This window comes from Homo sapiens, chromosome 1 (genome assembly GCF_000001405.40).
Source record: "Homo sapiens chromosome 1, GRCh38.p14 Primary Assembly".
NCBI classification, from domain to species: domain Eukaryota; kingdom Metazoa; phylum Chordata; class Mammalia; order Primates; family Hominidae; genus Homo; species Homo sapiens.
The window spans coordinates 233,293,618-233,316,654 of record NC_000001.11 but is presented as its reverse complement, the minus strand read 5'-3'; the positions used below and the strand labels follow the sequence as shown (position 1 = coordinate 233,316,654).

General features: G+C 38.4%; 1 protein-coding gene across 6 annotated transcripts in view, besides 2 other annotated features; it reads left to right on the top strand.

Annotated features, from left to right (window-relative positions):
• The window catches only part of PCNX2 (pecanex 2), a 343,895-nt gene that overhangs the window by 10,675 nt on the left and 310,183 nt on the right, over positions 1 to 23,037 (top strand). For 4 of the 6 annotated variants that reach the window (XR_001737430.2, NM_014801.4, XM_047430872.1 and 1 more), the window contains exon 1: positions 20,930 to 21,329. The exons of 1 other annotated variant lie outside the window; for it this stretch is intronic. Coding sequence is in view for 4 of the 5 variants with exons in the window: in NM_014801.4 (NP_055616.3) it covers positions 21,177 to 21,329 (153 nt within the window). In the remaining variant the exon portion in view is untranslated. Of the gene's footprint in view, positions 1 to 20,929; positions 21,330 to 22,151; positions 22,677 to 23,037 lie in introns of those variants that run through there. One more of the 6 variants, NM_001328607.3, reaches the window with a different exon arrangement.
• Positions 20,835 to 21,214: a silencer, noted in NCBI's record as "silent region_1959". NCBI's record gives its function as "represses an Ori minimal core promoter by ATAC-STARR-seq in GM12878 lymphoblastoid cells {active_cell/tissue: GM12878}" and the evidence as "EXISTENCE:reporter gene assay evidence [ECO:0000049][PMID:35858748]".
• Positions 21,495 to 21,544: an enhancer, noted in NCBI's record as "active region_2741". NCBI's record gives its function as "activates an Ori minimal core promoter by ATAC-STARR-seq in GM12878 lymphoblastoid cells {active_cell/tissue: GM12878}" and the evidence as "EXISTENCE:reporter gene assay evidence [ECO:0000049][PMID:35858748]".

The following is a 23,037-nucleotide window of genomic DNA, read 5'->3' as shown; positions in this document are numbered from 1 at the left end:
ACTACAAGGGAGTGTTTCGACTTTCACATTATCTGAAGGCCCAGTTCATTATGTCAGTATGACAGCTGAGTAATTATAAATGAAGGAGGTGTTAGTAAAAAATAGCATGAAGTTCTTTTTGAAGGTCTTGTGAGCTTGTAAATTAGCCTTTTTCTCTTGACTCTGCTTCTCTGGTTCATTTTCATGCATTTAAAGATGTGGGGTCTTGAGCTTCAGTTTAGTGACAGGTTAAAACAAACAAACAAGTGAAAAAAAAGTGCAGTTAAACAAGTAAGAATAATGACAACAATGCTGATGGTGGTGATGATACGGTAACAGTAATAAGTTAACATTTATTGGCATCTGTTGTTAGTGTCAAAGCTTTGAATTCAGCCTGTGTTAGGTTACTCTTTATTCTCATAGCTTCAGCTACCTTTCAGCTTTAGACAGAGTAATTGTGATTTTTAGAATTTTTGTAACTTTAATCAGTGGACAGGACTGGAGCCCTGCCTGTTCATGCTTAAAGTTACAGATTATAGCAAGGGCCGCTGAAATGGACAATGAGCTACTTCATTCAATAATGCAACAATGTAAAAACCTGAGTGGTTCCAGAAAGCCCAGATCTTTTGTAAACCCTGGAAGATATCCTTTCTGAAGTAAACTATCAAGCTCATGACCTTGGACCTGAGATAGGAAGGCTGCCATTTACCCTGAGTTGCCATTTTTGCACATTTGTCTGATGAAAATTGGTTTTATTGTATTTACAATTCATTGGACTCTTTTCAAACATAATGACTAATTCTTCACAACCTGCTAGAAATATTAAACAAAGGACACAGAGGACAAAGATTTTTTTTTTAAAAAAAGGTTAGTCATCCTTCTAAGGTCACAGAGAATAAATCATAGAGAAATTGGTTTATACTTGCTTTGTTTGTTTTTTAAATGCCAAAAGTTGGTCATACTACCTGTTTTTGTGAGTTAACTTTCTTTCCCTGCGCAAATTTACTCTGTAGTGACTTATATCTTATTTGTTCTATGAAAATGATGGTTTTCTGTATATCAGGTCTATTTTTGGGAGGTGTAACTCCCTCAAAGTGGACTGCGACATTCATTAAAAGCTGAACTTACACCACTGACCATTTTAGAGACCTTGAGATTTTATTCAATTCTCCAAATTTTTCATCCACATATAAAATTAGACTAATATTAACATACCCCTTTAAGAATACTATATAATGACTACAATGAGAAGTAATGAGATGATAAAATTGAACAGCTCTTTTGAAATTCTCAGAAGAGAAAGACTAAATAAATCCAATCATTTATTTTGTTAATGCATGAAGCGTATGTTAATTTAGCACAATCTGTGTAGTTCCGGTTTCTTTCATGAAATAATCTCTGTTTTTTCTGCAGTATTTTAAAATATTTTCTGACATTTCTAAAGCACTCTTAAATTAACTTATCTGACCTTTTCTTCTCTTATATGTGAATGCGGAACATACCAGCTATGACTGCTCTGTTTGAATCCATTCCCGTTGCTGCTTTATCTAACCTCATGGTTATCACTTATTCTCTGTAAGAATTTTCAGTGCCCAAAGACATAGAATCTGCATTACGATGTGCCCTTCCTGAATGTATGGATGTTGTTGTTACCCTATAGGGTCGTCTTTGTTATCCTGAAGGCACTGGTGAATGTGAAGTACTTTGAAAACTATAATGTGCCATATAAATGTGAAGTATTATTTGTGGTTGCTACTTAATCACAGGGTCATTTGAAGTCTTCCTAATCTTTTACAATGTCACTTGATAAAGGTGAGGGTTCAATGAGTGAAAGTTTCCAGTAAGTATCCCTTTCAGGGGTATTTCCTTACCTGAAAATTATCTTGGACAAACTGGTTTTCTGTAATAACGTAAGAATATCTTTTTTTTTTTAAATAAAAGCCCCCAGCCTAATGCAAAGATTTCAAATTAAACATCTTGAAAAAATATTGACAAATTATGGTTTTGAGCCACAGCTTCCATTTATACAGAATATTGATTCTCCTTCATATTAACTTTGGTACTGAAAACTTTATTTTTCCTACTTAGATGGATTCTAACCCTACTTTTGAAAGCAAAGTTAATATTCTCTTAGCTGTTAATTATTCTCTTGATCAGTTGCCTCCATATTTTTAAATGTTTTCCACGTAGAAGTAACCTAGAAAAACTTGTATGTGTGTTCTCTTAGTTATTTTTATATACATATCTTTAAATAAAATGAAATAAAATACACATTTTGAAAAGGTCATATACACAAAAGGATAATTTGAAAAGTTAAAATTCTCCCCCACACTGTTTACTCCCCAGCCATCCATTTTCTTGCTTAAGAATTTAATTTGTATCTTTCCAGAAATAGATGTACACAATACATCCAGAGATAGATGTATGCATCTCTCTCTCTCTCTAAATATATATGTATCATATAAATTTAAAGGCAGGACATTAAAAGTTGCCTCATTGTCTTTAACTTTTCTGTAGTACTCACTGTCTGCTGCATAATCGTTTCTTTAATGACTGCCTTTGATGGAAATTTAGGCTACTTTCAATTTTCTGTTATCACATACAGCCCTGCAGCAAATATCTTCATAATTTGCCATTTGCACAAGTGCCTGCATACAAGTAGGTTAAATTCCTGCGAATGGGATTCCCGAGTCAAAGGGCACATGCATTTGTAATTTTGACAGATGTGGCTAAATGGGCCTCCACAGGAGCTAGGAAACTTTACACTCCCACCAGCACCTTTCTCAACACAGCAACAACTTGTCTTTTCCCAGTCTGATAGTGGCAGCTGGTCTCCCATAGTTGTAAAGTGCGTTGCTTATTGTGAGTGAGATTGCACATTTTTTCCTATGTTTGGGTCATTTAATTACCCTTACTGTGAACTACCTGTTATTTCTTTGTCCATTTTTGGTTGGTCTTTTCTTACTGATGTTTAGGAGGTCTGTGTATACTAACTTATATGTCTTGGTCATGAGGTTCACATATTTTTCCTGATTTGTCTAGATTTTTTCTTTTTCTTTCTTTCCTCTTTCTTTCTTCATTCCCTCCCCACTTTCTCTTTTTCTGTCTTGCTTGCTTGTTTTCTTGCTTTTACTTCTACATAGTTGAATCTGTTGTTGAATCTGTTCCTTTATTGTTTCTAAGTTGTAGTACAAATAGTCTTTCCCATTTACTGAAAATTATTTTCCATAGGTTTTCTTCTATTCCATACCACTTCCTGGTTCTCTGTTCCATCTCACTGACAAGTCTGTCTACCTATCCCCCCATGCCACAATATTATAGTGTCTGCTGGGACTAATCTTGGCTAATATTTTTTTCTAGAATTTTCCTGGCAATTCTTCTTTGCTTATTTATTCATACTGAATACAAACTACACTCATGCATGTGAGCAGTTCACAGATCAAGGAGCGGAGCATTGCCAGAAGCCCAGAAACTCCCTGTGCTTCCTTCTAATTGCTGGCCTGTCATAGCAAATTAAGTTTGCCTGTTTTCTAATTTCATATAAACAGAATCATATACTCCTTTGAGCTTATTGAGATCAACATTTTATTTCTAAGATCCATCCGTGTTGTGATGTGTAATTTTAGTTTCTTCCTTTAGGTTTTCAAAATTGAGATAATGTTAGAGTTATAAGTCAGTTTAGCAAGAGTTAGTATGACACTGAATCTTCTGGGTACACAGTGTCTATGCCTTTCCATTTGCTTAGTCTTTTTTTTTTCTTTCGGTTACATTTTAAGGTTTTCTTCATATGAATTTTTTTTCTAATCCATTGACTGATGGCCCAGAACAATATAAATAATAGTCTTACTAATGGACATCCAAAATTTCCCTATTTTACTAGACATCCTTTACATATTGACCATCCTTGTACTCTGGGGATGAACTCTCTTTGGAGTTTTATGTGTTGCTACATTTGTTTCTAATACCTAATTTGGATTTTTACATCATCATTCATAATTGTGATTGAGTGTAGTTATGGATTTTTATTGAATTTTTGGAATGTTTTATGCTACCTTCATACAGAGAATTTGGAAGGGTTTTTCGTCTTGTTTAGTGTTCTGAAATAGCTTAAGTTACATTGGAATTACCTATTTCATATTTCATAAAAGTTGATGTAAAAATCTGCTGTGAAATAACTTGGGCCTGGTGCTTCTTGAAATTATAGTTTTGTAATAATATTCTCTATTTCTTCTACAGATCATTTTTCTCTTATTTCAATAAATAAAGACTTTTAGTATCTTCTGGGGTATGATTTGACAATGTATATTTTTCTAGATAATTATCCAATTATATCTAGATTCTACATTTATTTGAATACTCAAAAGCAAAGTATTCTCTTACGATGTTTATATTTCTTCTTGTTCTGTTTGTTTTGTCCTTTTCATTTCCTTTGTGCCTATTTGTCCTTTGCCCTTTGTTTCTGCTTAAGTTGGCTATTAATTTATCTATTTTATTGTTTCCTATGCCCACCCCCACCAGCTTTGTAATTATTATTATTATTGTTATTTTGAGACAGAGTTTTGCTCTGTAGCCCAGGCTGGAGTGCAGTGGTGAGGTCTTGGCTCACTGCAACCTCCGCCTCCCGGGTTCAAGCAAATCTCCCTGCCTCAGCCTCTCAAGTAGCTGGGACTATAGGCGCCTGCCACCACACCTGGCTAATTTTTGTACATTTAGTAGAGACTGGGTTTCACCATCTTGCCTAGGCTGGTCTCGAACTCCTGACCTCAGGCCTCAGGTGATCTGCCCGCCTCAGCCTCCCAAAATGCTGGGATTACAGGTGTGAGCCACTACACCCGGCTGTAATTATTTTTAAGTTCTATTTGTTTTTGTATTTTCTACTGCAATTATAGTTATCAATACATTCCATCTGTCTTCCCTGGGTTTTTTGTTATTATTTTTCTTAATTCTTGATTTCAATGTCTAATATGTTTATTTTTATTGTTTCTTGTATTAATTAGGATAGGCTAAGCTGCAGTAACAAATGGATCCCCCAAATTTTGGTGACTTAATGCAGTAAAAATTCATTTATTTCTATTGTAATTTATTTCCATGAAAGAAGCGGATATTTGTGTGTATTACTCAGTTTTTCCATACTGAAGTTATTCAAAGCTTTGGTGTTCTGCTTTGAAACTTTAATTCTTTCTTCTTATTATAATTTGCAAAATGGAGCCAAGAACTGGCAACACATATAAACAAACATTTCTCCCCGCTCTGGAGCCATGGGCTTGGTAGTTGTTGGTAGGTCCTCCAAATTCCCGAAGGTGAGTTTTGCAAAGTCTTTGATCACCTCATAACTTGGGTCTCCATCTTTCCAGGCAGGCTGCCATGACTCCTTGTTCCTTAGTTGTTCAACAACTGCTCAGGCAATGTTGGCTCTTTTAGGTTTTATTATATTAGTACACTATTTCCAGGTAATAGCTTCTGGGTTAGTTATGGTAGGTAATACTATGGTAACAAAGAAATCCCTACAATTTAGTTGCTTAACACAATAAAAAAATGTTATCTTGCTTATTAGAACACTTGGGCAGGAACTCAGTTCAGCCATGTGGATGTTCTCCTCATAGTCAGAGACCCAGGCTGAGCATAACTTGCGGCTTCCTGCTATGGTTTGGATATGTGTTTTGGCTTCACCAAGTCTCATTTTGAAAGTGGATCCCAATGTCAGAGGTATTTGGGTCATAAGGGCAGATCCCTGGTGAACAGCCTGGTACACTCCTTGTGGTAATGAGAGAGCTGATTGTTAGAAAGAGCTGAGGATCTCCCTCCTCTCTCTTTTGCCTTCTCTCCTGCCATGTGACCTGCACACACCAGCTCCCCTTTGCCTTCCACTATGAGTGGAAGCAGCCTGAGGCCCTCACCAGAAGCAAATACTGACACCATGCTTCTTGTTCAGCCTGCAGAATCGTGAGCCAAATAAACCTCTTTTCTTTATAAATGACCCAGCCTCAGGTATTCCTTTACAGCAATACACAGGGACAGAGACACCTCACAGCAACTTTACTGTCATGAGCACCCAGCCAGCAGAAGGACCTGGAAGAACATCCAGGAAGCTGAATGTGCTGGGCCTGACAGGATACACACATCTCTCCTACTACTGTTCCAGAACTCAGTTGCATAGCCGCAACTCCCCAAAAGATGTTCTGGGAAATGTGGTCCGCATTATTCTTCAAGAAGGGGACAGTGGTTTCTGGTAGACAACCAGGGGTCTCCTCTACATATTTTTGATAGCATAATTATTTGGGTCTGTATATTTTCCTTTGAGCACTAGTATTTTTTCCCTTTTTGGATCCTATTGGTACTGATATACTATCAGTTTTCCATAAGATACATCAGATATTTCATTATTTTGATCTTTACTTATTTTTTGAACCAACAGGTTTTGAGCAAAAATTTTTTAAAATTCTAGATGATAGATATTGGTTTATTTCCTAGTTGGCTATTAGCCTCTAATTTTATTAAACTATGATCAGAAAATACTATTTATATTGGTTTTCCTCTTGTGAGTTCATTGAGATTTTCTTTCATGAATATAGACTCAGATTCTGTGAGTGCTCTGAGAATGTTTGAAATGATGGTACATTGTATATAAGTGGAGTTCATAGTTGACATACACATATCAATTATGTTATTTAGGAATTATTAATAACTTTATTATTTATTTGATGTGTAATGGGCAGAAAAAGGAGAATTGAATCCTTCTTTTGGTTGTTTCTTATTTATTCCAAAAATTTTTATTATTTTTATTTCTTTTTTAATTTTGAGATGGAGTCTCACTCTGTCGCCTAGGCTGGAGTACAGTGGTGCAAAATCAGCTCACTGCAACAACCGCCTCCCAGACCCAAGCAATTCTCACACCTCAGCCGCCTGAGTAGCTGGGACTACAGGCGCCCACCACCATGCCTGTCTAATTTCTGTATTTTTAGTAGAAACGGGGTTTCATCATGTTGGCCAGGCTGGTCTTGAATTCCTGACCTCAGGGGATCCGCCCTCCTCAGCCTCCCAAAGTGCCAGGATTACAGGCATGAGCCACTGTGCCTGGCTAAATTAAGTTTTGTATATATTTTTTAATTTTATTATTATTATTATTATTATTTTTTTGAGGGAGTCTCACTCTGTTGCCCAGGCTGGAGTATAGTGGCATGATCTTGGCTCACTGCATCCTCCACCTCCTGGGTTGAAGGGATTCTCCTGCCTCAGCCTCCAGAGTAGCTGAGATTACAGGAGGCCGCCACCACGCCCAGCTGATTTTTGTATTTTAGTAGAAGTGGGGTTTCATCATGTTGATCAGGCTGGTCTTGAACTCCTGACCTCAAATGATCCACCTACCTTGGCCTCCCAAAGCCATGGGATTATAGGCATGAGCCACCGCGCCCGGCCATATTCCAAATATTTTAACTGATAAATGTTGGTGCTCTTTTCTTTTGATCATGGACATTCATAACTTCAAATTTTGTATTGTGAATTTCTTTCCTTATGAAGATTATCTCATTTAATAATTTTATTTCATTAATTTTATTTAATAACAAGATTTTGAGCTTCCCTTATCACACACCCACCCAACATTTTTTCCTGTTTGTCTGAGGAACTTTTGCCTCTTTTTATTACTTTCAATTTTTCTGAGACACTCTTTCATAGGTGTATCTCCTATAAATAACCAATGCTTGGATTTTCTCTAAGACTCATTTGTATTCTTTTTGTCCTTTAATAAGTAAGTTAAAGCCATTTACACTTATAGATATTACCAACATATTTTGTGTCATTTTATATCACATTTTGTGCTTCATTTGTTTCTTTTACTTTAAAAAATATCTTTCACTATGTAGTTTGTGTTTTTTTATTATTTTGTTTTATGCAGCTTCTGAAAATTTGGAAGGATTATAGTTTTTGGCTTTAGAGTTATCTTTTTAAATTTAACATGTTAATTTAATCTTTTTAGATGTTCTCTATTGATTTCTTACTATAAACAGGATTAAAAATAGTTTAGTTTCACTTCTTTTTCTTCTCTACCACCCAGCTTTATCTGATAAGTTTATGTTTCTTAAGATTTACTCTTATACCACTAAATATCTTTATACATCTATTATTTGGTGTGTCAGAATTAAATATTTTGGGGCTTCTTACCTTTTCTCTTCTCCTATTTCTTTTTCTTTTTCTTTTTCTTTCTTTTTTTTGTTTTTTTAAACAGAGTCTTGCTCTGTCGCCCAGGCTGGAGTGCAGTGGCACGATCTCGGCTCACTGCAACCTCCGCCTCCTGGATTCAAGCAATTCTCCTGACTCAGCCTTCCAAGTAGCTGGGATTGCAGGCATCCACCACCATGCCTGGCTAATTTTTTTGTATTTTTAGAAGAGACGGGATTTTGTCATGTTGGCCAGGCTGGTTTCAAACTCCTGACCTCAAATGATCTGCCCGTCTCGGCCTCCCAAAGTGCTGGGATTACAGGCGTGAGCCACTACGCCCAGCTTCTTCTCCTATGTCTTTTGATAACTTTAGTTAGTTATATCATTTCTTCATGTATGGATTTGGTATCATTTGTGTTTTGTTCTATAATCATAAGCCATAACTTTGTTTTAGTCTTTATACTATATGGACTCAATTCTCACATCTGGCTTTTTGTCAGTTTCTCAATTCATAACTTGGTTAACAGAAGTTCATCCTTTGGTGACCTGTTCCAAGAAGACTCACGTGAATGTTGTCTTCTGAGTTCTCACATGTTATGTGGCCTTCATGCTTAAGTGACTGTTTTGCTTGGAGGTAATGCAGTGGTTCAGATGCAGCTCTGGAGCGTGGGCTCTGAACTCATTCTGCTGAGGTTTGAAACTGGCCACAATCCCTTAGCACACAGACAATTTACTTAACCTCTCTGTGCTTGTTTTCTTGCTTGTAAAACGGGAATGATTATAGCACCTTCCTCAAAAAGTGGTTTTGTGGACTCAAAGAGTGAATAGATGTGGAATGCTAATAATAGTACCAGACACAGAGAGATTATTCAATGGAAGCTACCACTGTCTCTTACAAAATTTTTAGATCCACCATAACAGTGCCTTAGTCTTTTTGTGTTGCTGTAAAGGAATACCTGAGGCTGGGTAATTTATAAAGAAAAGTGGTTTATCTGGCTCACAGTTCTGCTGGCTGTACAAGGGGCATGGAGCTAGCATCAGCTTCTGGGGAGGGCTTCAGGCTGCTTCCACTCATGACAGAAAGCAAATGGGAGCTGGTGTGTCACATGGCGTGAGAGAGCAAGAGAGAGAGGAGGGAGGTGCCAGGTTATTTTCAACAATCAATTCTCCCAGGAACTAAGAGTGAGAACTCACTCTCTCTGAGAATGGCACCAAGCCATTCATGAGGGATCTGCCTTCAGGACCTAAAGACCTCCCACCACACCCACCTCCACCGTTGGGGATCAGATTTCAACATGAGATTTGGAAGGAATAAATATCCAAAGTATATTAAGTAGCAAATATGTACATTGATCTTTCACAGAGGATTTTGTAACCATAATTTCATCAACTTCTCACATTATATAATTCTGAAGAAAATTCTGAGGTCAAGCTAACACTTTCCTTTTATATGTAACTTTATTTCTTTATCTATTTTTTATTGGATTACCCAACAGATTCTTTATCTTCAAATTTTGATAACTTTACCATAATATATATCTTTTTAAAAATCACTATTTTATTTTAAGGTAGAGTACTTGTAGAGAAAAATGCATGAAACATATATACACAGCTTAATAAATTTTTATAAAACAAATACTCTTGTAATCATGAGCCAGGTAAACATACAGAATGTTTTCATTCAGAAGCCCTCTGAGTGTCCTTCCTAATCACAACATTCTCAGAATAAATTGCCCCTTCAGAATTGATAAACACACCAAGGGAAAATCAAATCTCAAAATCTAAAATGAATAATTCTTCACAATCATGTGAAGGTGGTCAGATACCTTCAAGCACATATTTTGGTTTATTTGTTTTTTTGAATACAGCTTTATTGATGTATAATTCACATGCCATACAATTCAGCCATTTAACATGTATATTTCCCAATCCAATAAAAATATTTGTCCTCTTTCGAGCCTTTTCAGACTTGCTTAAAGATGTGCCCTGCTTTCCCCAGATAGATTGATTAAGTAATAAGCTTTTTCAGAACCTTGTGTTGTTTGTGTGATGTCACTAGTGTTGACATCCAAACCAAATTTTAGATGGGGCTTCATGCTACCAGTACTGGATATCTACATGTTGTTGCCCAAGACTTCTCTTTCCTTGTTAATCTTCTGCCTAGTTGTTTGATCCATTATTGAAAGTCAGGATATTAAAGTCTCTAACTATTGTTGTTGAATTATTAACTTATCCCTTTAATTCTGTCAGCTTTTGTTATTTACGTTTTGAGGTTCTGTTGTTGGGTGCATATAGGTTTATAACTATTTTATCTTCTTAATGAACTGACCCTTTAATCATTATAAAACGCTTTTCTTTTTCTTAGTAAAAACTGTTGTATCAAAGTCTATTTTGTCTGATATTAGTACAAATAAATAATAATAGCTGCCCACAAAACACTCTAACTCTCTTGGTTTGCTTCTTCTACCCTTTTACTTTCCACCTGTTTATATCCTTGAATCTAAAGTGTGTCTTTTCTAGCATTTGATCATGTTTTTAAATTCATCCTGGCAAACTTTGCCTTTTGATTTTAGTGTTTAACCCATTTTCATTTAGTGTAATTGCTGATAAGGTGAACTTACATCTGCCATTTGGATACTTGTTTTTATATGTCATGTGTGTTTTTGTTTTTCTCTTCCTCCATTACTGCCTCCTCTATTGTTAAGTGGATATTTTCTAGTTCATTCTTGTGTTTCCTTTACTGTATTTTAAAATTTAGTTTCTAGGCTGGGCATAATGGCTCATGCCTGTAATCCCAGTACTTTGTGAGGCCAAGATTGGTGGATGGTTTGAGCCCAGGGGATTGAAACCAGTCTGGGCAACCTAGTGAGATCTTGTCTCTACAAAAAATATAAAAATTATAAAAATTAGCTGGGCGTGGGAGCACACGCCTGTAGTCTCAGCTATTTGGGAGGTTGAGTGGGGGAGGATCACTATAGCCTGGGAGGTTGAGGCTGCACGAGCCATAATTGCACCACTTCACTCCAGCCTGGGTGATGGAGTGAGACCCTGTCACAAAAGAATAAATAAAAGAAAAATAAAATGAAATTTAATATTTTAGTGATTGCCCTAGAGATTACAATTAGCATCTTAAAACAATCTAATTCAGATTAATATTAGCTTCATTTCAATATTATATAAAAACTAACAATATAACTCCATTTTATCTCATTTCCTTTGTGCTTTTTTTTATACAAATTGTATCTTTATACATTATAAGTCCTTCAACATAGTTTTGTAATTCTTGCTTTACGATTTGTCTTTTAAAACAAATATGAGAATAAAGGAGCTATATACAAAATATTTTTATACCATAAAGAAACTTGTTCTACTACACAGAAGTCAGTTGCCCTAGAACCTTTCTTCATGTTATTATTATCATTGTTTTTGTCATTTTGGGGATGGGGAATGATATATCCATTGAATGTTTAGGTAAGTTAAAGTCCTCTTTTGTTTCTGAAGAAGTTCTTCAATTATAACTCATAATATTCCTTATATTCCATTATTTCTATTCTGTTATTCAGGAACACTAATTTGTGTAGAAGATTAAGGAAAAATAACCTAAAAATAAATGATAATAGTCACATGCAAAACACACATACAATATACACTGACCATACAAGATATGAAGGTGATCTTCACAAAATGTAATTAGGTGAAAAGCAGACCTGTCATTTGGGGGAACAAGCTTTCTGCAATATTGAATTTGCCCTGTTAAAATCCTTCCTTGCTTTGCAATACCAATAACGTATTTTATTTTACTACATTCTAAGCAGTGTTCTGGTGCCACCTAGTGCTACAAATGAGTAAAAGCCACTCTGCTTTTTCTTTTTCTCCCTTTCTCCTCTGCCCATCCTTCCTTCCTTTCCCTCCCTTTATTCATCTCATAATAACTGGCATTTTCTATTTCACATTTCACTGTCTGAATTATAATATGTGCTTAAAAGAGCCAAAAGATGTAATTTATTTTTTATGCTTACTCTTGGGTAAACACATTTGGGAAAATATCAAATTATCTTGGAGTAAAGGTTTAGTATTCTACCTATTAGGCATTTCCTCATTAACATAGTCTTTTTGTCGTCTGTATTTCCCTTCTTTGTGCTAACTGAATGAGGATTAGCCTACCTTTTCTCTGCCCCCTCCACATTCTTTCAGTTGTGTTCTGTGAGATCCTCATATCATTATAAATAATCTTTGCTTTACCTCTAACTGCTACACAAAATAATACTACCCCATGCTCATGCTCCTCTGTGCCACTTCTTCATATGTGTCCCCCATGTGCTGACACCATCCTGTCCACTGTATAATTCCACCTCTATTGGAAATGCATCACTTTATATTTCTGACCCCTTTAAAAAAGTTTTAAGAGTTTATGACTTTTAAGCTAGTAAAATTGAATAATAAAAAATAGATCATTCCAAAGAAGCCAAGAGAAAGCAAAGTGGAAAAAAGACAAACTCAAAATCGTGATATGATTAAATCCAGTACTATTACAACTGCATTAAATGTAACAGACTAAATATTCTAATTAAAGTCAAAGATTATCAGATCAAATAAAAACTGTATCCCAACTATATGCTGCTTATAAGAAACAAACATGAAGACAGAACATAAAGACACAGAAAAGTTAAAAGTAAAATGATACAAAAATATATAACCATATAAACACTAACCAGAAGAACCCTGAGGTGACTGCATTAATATCAGATAGAATAGAATTTAAATTTTAAAAATTCCTGGAGTGCAGCACACCAACATGGCACACGTATACATATGTAACTAACCTGCACGTTGTGCACACGTACCCTAAAACTTAAAGTATAATAAAAAAAAATTCCTGGAGATATTCTGCATGATTATAAAAGGTTCATTTCTTCAGAAAGATATAAAAACTTAATTTAACATAGTGTGTATATAATATGTATAAATGGCTTTATAGATATATATGTACATATATGATTTTTTGAGACAGGGTCCCACTTTTTCGCCCAAGCTGGAGTACAGTGGTGTGAACATGGCTCACTGAAGCCTTAACCTCTCCTGCTCAAAGGATCTTCCTTCCTCAGCCCACCAGGCAGCTGGGACTACAGGCACACACCACCACACCCAGCAAATTTTTGTATTTTTTTGTAAAGACAGGATTTCTCCATGTTGCCCAGGCTAGTCTCAAACTCCTGAGCTCAAACAATCTGCCTGCCTCGGCCTCCCAAAGTGCTGGGACTATATATGATTTTATAATGATCTTTGATTTCTCACTTAGTTCTGTAGAAAGTCCTCTGAACTCTAAATAATTTTAATTATTTGAAATTTATTGAGGCTTGATTTATGTTAAAGAATATGGTCCATTGTGTGTGTGTGTGTGTGCATTTGTATTTGACAAATCTTAAAAAGAATGACACCTCTGTCATTAACTGATAGAAAGGCAGACAAAAAGTCTGTAAGGATGAAAAATATTTGAGCAAATGATTAGCAGATTTAACTAGGGGACATTTACAGAATACTGCACTTTTAGAGTGCAGAAAAATCATTCTTTTTAAGCTGACACACACATTTACAAAACTAATCATATTCTTTGCCATAAATCAAGTCTGACAGTTATTAAGAGTATGTTCTCTGGAATTAAATGAGGATATAGATTATTAGGAAGTGCTCATATATGTCTATACATACTTAGAAGCAATATACTTCGAAATAATCTATAGGTCAAAGGAATCCTAATGGAAATTAGAAAATATTCTGAATTGAATGTAGTAAAATATATTGAAATTTTGAGAATGCAACTAATGTCATACTTAGAGGAAAATGTATAGATTTAACTGTATATATATATATATGATGGAAGGAGAAGCAAAAAAATGCAGGTGAAGCATACATCTCAAGAAGATAGAAAAAGTAAAACAAATAAGGCTGAGACACAGTACAAGAGAAACATAAAGAACATAAATTGACAAAATTAAAAAAAATCATTTGATAAAGAAGATGAAAAAGCTGAAATTTTTTCTTTGAGAAGACTAAATAAAATGAGAAATTCCTAATGAATAATCATGAAAGAATGAGATGGCACAAATAACTGATTTTAAGAATGAAAAGGCACAGACCACTGTGCATAAAAATGCATAGACATTTTTATTAAATCACAAGAGGATAGTATGACAAACTTTATACCAATAAAGTCAAATGAACAAATTCCTAGAAAAAAATATATTTACCAAAAAGATAAAAGAAGTAAAAAAATCAATTAGATCTAAAATTATTAAAGATATTACATTCAAAATTTATCTCAATGCTTCATCTGATTTGGTTATTCTCTAGGCCTGCTGTTTTGTGAACTGTTGTCCTGGAGATTGTTTTTTAATTTTCTTTCTCTCTTTTCAATTGCTTGTTCTTGGCTGGGCGCAGTGGTTCACTATAATCCCAACACTTTGGGAGGCCAAGGCGGGGGCATTACCCGAGGTCAGGAGTTTGAGACCAGCCTGGCCAACATGGAAACCTCATCTCTACCAGAAAAAAATATATAAAAATTAGCCGGGGGTGGTGGTGCATGCCTGTAATCCCAGCTACTCAGGAGGCTGAGGCATGAGAATCACTTGAACCCAGGAGACAGAGATTGCAGTGAGCTGAGATTGCACCACTGCATTCTGGCTTGGGCGGCAGAGCAAGACTCTGGAAAAAAAAAAAAAAAAAGCTTGTTCCCTTGGTCCTGTGACTTTATCTTTCTTAGTATATTCTTTCCTTTTAATGAAGCATATTTTCCAGTATCTCTGAGAAAGGGTGTACAAGAGTGTAGCAGCTATCTGTGGTGCCCTCCATCACACAGATTAGGGCTACCCTCAAATATATAATTGATTTTTGGATGTTAAGCCAACCTTGAATTCCTGGGATGAATTCTACTTGGTCATAGTATGTAATCCTTTTTATATGTTGCTGGACTCAGATTGCTAATATGTTTTTAAGGATTTTTGCTTTTGTTAAGGCAGGATAATACATGGTCAAGTTTTCGTTTCCTGTCATGTCTTTATCTGCTTTGGTATCAGGGAAATACTTGCCTTATATAGTGAGTTGGCAAGCATTTTCCCTTTATTTTCAGAAAGCATTTGCATATGATAGTCACAAGCTCTGTTAATGGTCAACATTCTCTTTTACTTTCCAATTGCTTCTCTGTAATACTGGCCTGCTATTTTACTCAATGAATTCTTCCCTCAAATCTCTTGAAGAATATCAATTATAATTTTAAAGGACCTTTCTTGTTTTCTTTATGTTTTCTATTTTAGTGGGAGCCATTCTTTTAGAGTACTTAGCTTTGAACTTTTAGTTATTTCAACATTTTTCAATTTTTGATATGTTGCTTGTATAATGTTTATAAATAAGAGTCTACATATATGAGGATTAGCAGCTAGTATTACCTCTGTGAGACATTTTATAAATCTCTCTTTCACTTCTCTAGCAGGTATGACTTCTCCTACTTGCTTATACTCAGAGCCCTCTAGGGGGTTACAAAAGAGCCTTTCATCCACAATAAAGTTAGTGAGCAAGAATGGCTTGCAGTCCAGCTGTTCATGGGGGCCCATGGACTAAAAGCAAACTGGCAGATGAGGGCTTTCTCTTGAGCTACATGGTGCAAGATCACCTCTTCACTAGTCTCAGTGGGCAGGGCACACCAAGACAGAGGCTGGGGTGGATACTTTAGTCAGCTACTCCTTGTCCAGGGCTCTAGACTGCTTCACATGCTCATGAGGGTCTGCTCTTTGGCATAGCCATATCTCAATCCTCTGCTAGTACGATCATAAGGAGATCTGTGTTTACTTGGAGTTGTAATTGACAGGGGGATGTACTGAAGGAGACCTTGGGAAATCAAGCACATTAGGGGATTGTACTGCTCTGCAAAGCTACCTTACTCTACTCCAACCCCACTGTTTATGTTGTGGTGTCTTGAACACAGCTGAGTCATTGCCCTTCTCTCCCCAGGCAGAATGCCCACCCTAGGGGCTGCTAGAGTAAACACACTTTGCTTAGCAAGCAACTCCTATCAAGGGAAGCCTGGATATGTCTCTGAACACGAAGCAGTACTGTTCTAGTTCCCATATCATTTCAACATTTCCATCCCAATTATTCTCAATTGCATAATATTTCAACTTTTACATTGTTTCTCTCATCCCTAGCTAATTCAATCATGGCTAACACTGGGTGCCAGAAAATGATGTGCAAAAATTCTACATAGAACACTATGAAACGTTATTGAGCAATCTTAATAAAGGAAGGATGTATCTTGTTCATTATGGAAAGGCTCAATATTGAAAAGATGTCAGTTCTCTCAAAATTTATTGGTAAAGTCAATACAATCCCACTCCAAATCCCACCAGATTATGTGCATGTGTGTAGATATGTTGACATGCTGAGGGAATAGCATCAGCCAAGGTGTAGACTCATGAAGAAACATGCAGTATGCAAAGAAGTACAAGCACTTTGGGTTTTCAGAGATGAGTTCAGAGATGAGTTTAAAGGGATTAGGTGAGGGCAGGGCTGTAGAGGGCACTTGGACTGTTGTTGTTGTTGTTTTCTGAATGTGATGGAAAGAATCTAAGAAGGAATAATCAGGTTGGATTTTTATTTTATATAGAGCACTCTGGCCTCCCTTTCACATGCTGTGATCTGTATTATAGGTAACTACATTTTCCAGGCTTCCCTGTACTATAACTTCCAGGCGGGTTTAGCCAATGGAAGAGACAGGTAACTGACTGGAAAAGAGAAGAAACCAGAGTATTCATGTTTGCTCCTCCCTTCTGCATATTCCCGACTCAAACCCATTCCCTTTCTGTCGTACCACCTGTGGCCGCTGCAGGTCCTCAAGGCTTCAGCTCTTTCCAGACTGCCCTGCCATGGATCTATCTCTTGCCGCCAACCTCTGGCTTGTGGCTTCTAACAATACTACTTGTTCCCACTGTTCTTCCAGTCCTAGGAGTGGTAGGTGCATATTCTGCTTTGTCTGATCCCTTGTTTGCTTTTTCAGCTTTCTCATTTCCTGTGTAAACTTATGTATGCTTTGAAAGCTAGAGTTGCTCCTTTCTTCCCTTCATTGATATAGAAGGTTTAGTTGGAGATACAAAAATTAGTTAGGAAGCCACTTTGATAGTTCGAGAGAAATTCTGAGGATGACTTGAAGTCATGGCAACAGGGATAGAGCAAACATATGTAGTTAATTATCATTTGGAAATAAAATCGATAAGACATGGTCACTGACTGGATATGGTAGTGAGAGAGAGGAGGATGAGAGGAGGAGGAATTTAGGTTTCCTCCTGGTTCTAAGTGACTGGGTGGATTGTGGTTTCATCGGCTGAGATCAAAATACAAAAGGCACAATGGAAGGAATTGCAGTAAGAGAGAAGACAGAGAGTTCACATTTGAACATGCTGAGGGCCTATGGGCAGAAGGGCACCCAACTGGATTTAAATCGAAATTCAGGAAAAAGTTAGGGCTGAAGATAAAGACTTTAGAGTCTCCAACATATGCATTACAGTGAAAGCTATAATGATGCCAGGAAACAAGTAGTCAAGAAGAAGCATACTTAGTTTTTTGTTTGTTTGTTTGTTTGTTTGTTTTTGAGATGCAGTCTCGCTCTGTCACCCAGGCTGGAGTGCAGTGGCATGATCCTGGCTCACTGCAACCTCTGCCTCCCAGGTTCAAGCGATTCTCAGCCTCCCTAGTAGCTGGGACTACAGGTGCACACCACCACACCCGGCTCATTTTTGTATTTTTAGTAGAGATGGGGTTTCATCATGTTGGCCAGGCTGGTCTCGAACTCCTGACCTCAGGTGATCCACCCGCCTCGGCCTCCCAAAGTGCTGGGATTACAGGCGTGAACCACCATGACTGGCCAGCATACTTAGGTTTTAATATTAAAAGCCAATCAGTCAAAACAAACACTTTCTTGACCATTGCACCTGCATTTAGATCACGCTCACCTCCATGGCCAGGCTCCTCTAAGGAGCAGCTGACTTTGCCTCCCTCTACTTTTGCATTCACTACACATTCAATCTTTTGTAATACAACACAATTAGGCACCTGCCCACTTTATCATCTTTAATCCTCAAAATGGCTGAGGCTATGTCACATTAGGTCACTCCTAATGGCTGTGTCCTAATAACAACCTTTGTACTTGGCCTCTTCTATGGCACTTGACACTATTAATCACGTCCTTCTTGAATTGTTCTTTCCCCATTTATTTGCTAATTTCAGATTCACCTTATTTTCCTCCTTTCCTCCCTCTTTTGTCCTGCTTGTGTGTTTAATCCTTGTAATTCACAGCCCTCTTGGCTTCATTTTTTTCTGGGACATTATCATCCCGTTTTATGGGACTATCTGCTGATCTCTCTCAAGTATAAATCCTATTTCAGAAACCTCCCCTAAGCTTCAGAAACATTCTCTCCCTGATGGCTTGCAAAGTCCCTCAGCAACTCAAATTCAGTGTAGTCATCTTTCACTGCTAATCTTCCTATATCTTATAAATGGATTAGTTTTACAGTATAGTCATCTCAACCCAAAATGGAAAATCATTACATTCCTTATCCCTTTATCTCCACATTGAATTGATCTCTAAGCCTTAAGATCATATATGATCCCTCAACATTTTGTCCCTTCCTGCTGGTTCAGGTGTTCAGCATTTGCCCCTGTACTATCGATCATGTCACATGCATGCTTCAGCCTTCCAGTTCTTGTCCATTGCCTAGGATAAGATCTGAAGAACTTTGTATGGCCCAGGAGACTGACCTTTGCTTATCTCATTAAGTTTCCTACTGTTCCGTTTCTCCCATTCCCAGCCCTACCTTCCAGACATGTTAGACTATCCTGACATTTTCCCCAAATTGCCATGCTCCTCTTTCCACATATACATGTGCCTGGAGAACTATTCCCACTTACATGCCTTGAGAGCTAATATTTAGCTTTAAGACCCAGTTCCCTGGTGCTTATTGACACCACCCCTCCCTCACAGACTTACACATGTCTTCTGCACTCCACAGTGCCCCAGTGCTTCCATATATCTGGATATGTGTCCATTTCTACAATATGATAACAGGCAGCACATTTTATTGCAAGTCTTTGATTTTCCTGCCTCCTCTTGTGGTTTATTAACTCCTTCATGGTAGGGACTATATTTGACTTACATTTGCTTTCTTAGTCTTCTGCAAAATGCTTGACACCCAGAAGGTGTTGAGTAAATATTTGATGAATCAGGACAAGTGAACAAGGACACAACCTCCATGTGGGAACAGACTGTTGCATGACCTTTCCTCCTATACCCATGCACGTGACGGCGCTCCTTTAATGTGGAGTTGATTGGTTGATTAACCCATTAAACACTTATACAGCACCTGGTAGGTTACAAGCATTTTGAGCAGATATACAAAAAAGCCCATTTGTTTACAAGCTGTGTCTTTAAGAAAATTACTCTTCCAGTACAGAAAGCAGCCATATTCCATTTTGATGATTCATTCCTACTGATGAATGTAAAGTAGAAGGAAGAGTGGTTATAGCTGATGGCAGACACACCATAGTGAGGCTTTTGCTGTAACTCAGTGGCCTTTCATGTCCTGGGCCCTCTCCTCATGATGGGCCTGTCCTTATCTTCGTTTCAGCCTGGGAAGGCTGGTGTGCCTTTACTGGGCCTGACTAGGGCAGCCATAAGTAAGTGCTGCTGCAGACCAGAACATGGCCAGGACACAGGCAGGCACACAAGTCAGAGGAGTGTGATGTGTTGGGACAGACCAGGTAAGGATGATGCAGGGAAGGCGTGTTGGGAATCATGGAGCCCTCTAATCTTTGTCTCTCCCTAAGGCTCTAGCTCACACAGGGCTTCTGCTCCTCATCCCAAAGGAAGACAAGCTCCTTTTTATCTCTTCCCTTTCCAAAACCCACTCTCAAAAGAGAATCTAAACTGTATCCACTGTAAATGATAAAATATATAATAGCTTAAAGATTATTAATTTTTTGTCCAGTGGGTCTTCCTGTCTAAACAGCATAGAGAGATTTAGACTAATGTTCTATATAGCCAGTTAAATACCTGGGATTATGTTCTAGGAAAGAGATAAAAAACTAAGGCTAACTGAAGCTCCTAAAATTTTATCAGGAAGGTGGTTATCTTCTTTCTCCACCAAGTTGGACAACAGGGAGTGGAGGAGAAACAGTCAGGGAGGACAGAAGATCAGTGGCAGAGGACCAGGTAGAGCTTAGATTAATAGAACGTCTGGGGTCAGCCCTTAATTAAGGAGAATGAAGTCGTGCAGGAAGTGCTCAGGAGAAGAAATTACTTTGAGTGCTGTGTGACAGGACCTTGTATGAGGTAAATACTTGGGTGCAAAAAAGGACAAGGACAAGGAACGTGTCCTGGGTCTGTGCCTTCTGCATGAGAACACCCTTGCACGTCCCCTAACAGGAGGATCAGAGAGAAGGGGAAGGGAAGAGGGGAGAGGCAAAAAAAAAAAAGAAAGAAAGAAAGAAAAAAAGAGCGAGAAAGAAAGAGAGAGAGAGAGAGAAAGGAAGGAAGGAAGGAAGAAAGAGAGAGAGAGGGAGGGAGGAGGAAGGAAAAAGAGAGAGAGAAAGAAAGAGAGAAAAAGAGAAAGAGAGAAAGAAAAGGCTGGAGGCACTCACAGAAATCCTTCTGGCCCCCAGCGAAGGCTAAGGAGGGACTGGGCGGGCGTTGGGAGGAGCCTCGGAAGCAACCTCTGAGCAGCCGCCTCTGAGCACGATGGGAAAATCCTTCCTCCCTCGGACATGGCGCTCACCTGCCCGGCCGCAGCAGCCGGCTCCGGCGCCGCGGTTCGCGGGTCCGGGCGGAAGAGCAGCTCCAGCTTCAAACGTGGGGTGGAAGGAGGCGGCGGGGGCGACGGCGGCGGCGACGGCGGGGGCGCGGCCCGCGGGCCCGGGTGTTAGACCTGAGGGAGCCTGGAGATCCGGCCGGGGCGCGCAGGGTGCAGCGGGGCGCTCACCAGCCCCGGGGCGCAGCCGGCATGGTGTCCCAGGTGCTGCAGCTGCTCCGGCAGGGCGTGTGGGCCGCGCTCACCGGGGGCTGGTACCACGACCCGGAGCAGAGCAAGTTCACCAACAGCTGCCACCTCTACCTGTGGCTGTTCCTCCTGCTGCTGCCCCTGGCCCTGCACCTGGTGAGTGGGGAGGGTCCGGTCCCGGGGAGCTGTGGGTATGGAGGGAAGAAGGAGAAAGGAACCACAGACGTGCCATCAGCCTCACGGGCTTTCGGGTTCGTAGAGATTCTTAAGAGACGGAAAGGGAGGGGCTTCAGAAATTTGGGACAGAGAACATGCAGGGAAAGGGGACTGTGAGGATTCACTGGAAAAGAAAAGAAGTAGACAGGACTGCGGGGGCTCGGGGACTCATTAAGAATTGATGCCGGATGTTAGGATGAGTCACTCTGCTTGTGGCAGGGAGCGTGCAGCCTGTTTTGTAGGTGGGTAACTCTAGGCCTTAGAGCTGGGTAGCTTGGGATAATGTTTGGTGTGAAATGCTGTAGATTGTAGCCAAGAGGAAAAACGAAATGTAAAAAGCAGACTCATTTCAGTTATTGTCCCCTTTTTCCCCCCTCACCTTCTTTCTTGTTTTGCTTTGAGAAGGCAGTTCAGTTATCAGTTACTCACATTGTAATTTCTACACCACTATGTATAGAAATCTGTAGGAAGATATAATAATGGATAAATCTAATGTACTTTATGCTAAACAAAGTATTACAACATTTAGATGGGGCTTGACATTTTAGTGGGGTTATGGTAAGTGAGTGCTTGCTGAAGAACTACATAGATGGCCTTCTTAGGTAAATTATACGTAATTAAAACAATGGTTTACCTGCTTTGAAAAGCTGTACAGGTAAGGTGTTCCATGTCTTATTAAACTTTACGTGCCAAGAATCTAATTTTGGTATGTCGGTTGGAGGACTTTATTCCTAACACATTATTTGATCATTTTTTTTACAGCAAAAATCGTCAATGAGTTTGCATGACTGATGGATTCCGAGTTTGACATTTGTGATTGGGTTTCTCTTTACTCTTTTTCCGGCAGTGTATCCAAAGGGTCAGAACTCTGGGTGTGAAGTCATGATGCCTAGGTTAAATTTTGGGTCTACTGGTTACCAGTTCTGTGACCTTGGGGAGGTTATTTACCATATCTCATTTTTCATTTTCTTATCTGTAAAATGAGAAAAAGTAATAGTACCAGATTTACAGATTGTTTTAGGGATTAAATGAGATAGTACATATAAAGCCACAGGTCTGTCTTGACCTGAGATTGGACTCAGGCCTTGGGTTTACAATTCTGTTCTGCTACTTATTAGCTGTTTGGTCTGATACTGAACTTTTCTAAAACTTAGCATTCATATCATTAAAACGGATGTGATCATCACAATCACCACTTCACAGAAAAATTAACCAAAATTATATATAAAAAGCATTAAATACAGAAACTGCTTGGAAACCCTGCAATAAATGCAAGTTTATTTCTTCTTTCTGATTCTCCGCACCATTTTTCTTAACCCATTTTTCCTTAGCCTATGGGCCCCAGTGGTTTCTCTTTTCCTAGAGGGACAGCATAGCAAAGTCATGAGGAGCACAGCCCTCACCAGGGTGAAATCCTGGTTCTGCTGCTCACTAGACCTAATATGAGCTTGAGCAAGCTTCACCTTCCTTGTTTGTAAAGCAGGGATAATTACAGTACCTCCCTTATAGGGTGAATATGAGAACTGAGTGAATTAATAGATGAAAGTACTTCTTAGTACCTGTCACACAGAGAGTGCTCAGTAAGAGATAGCCCTTTTTAATCCTTCCCCATCTTCTAAAATCTCTCCATCCTTATGTTTTCTGATTT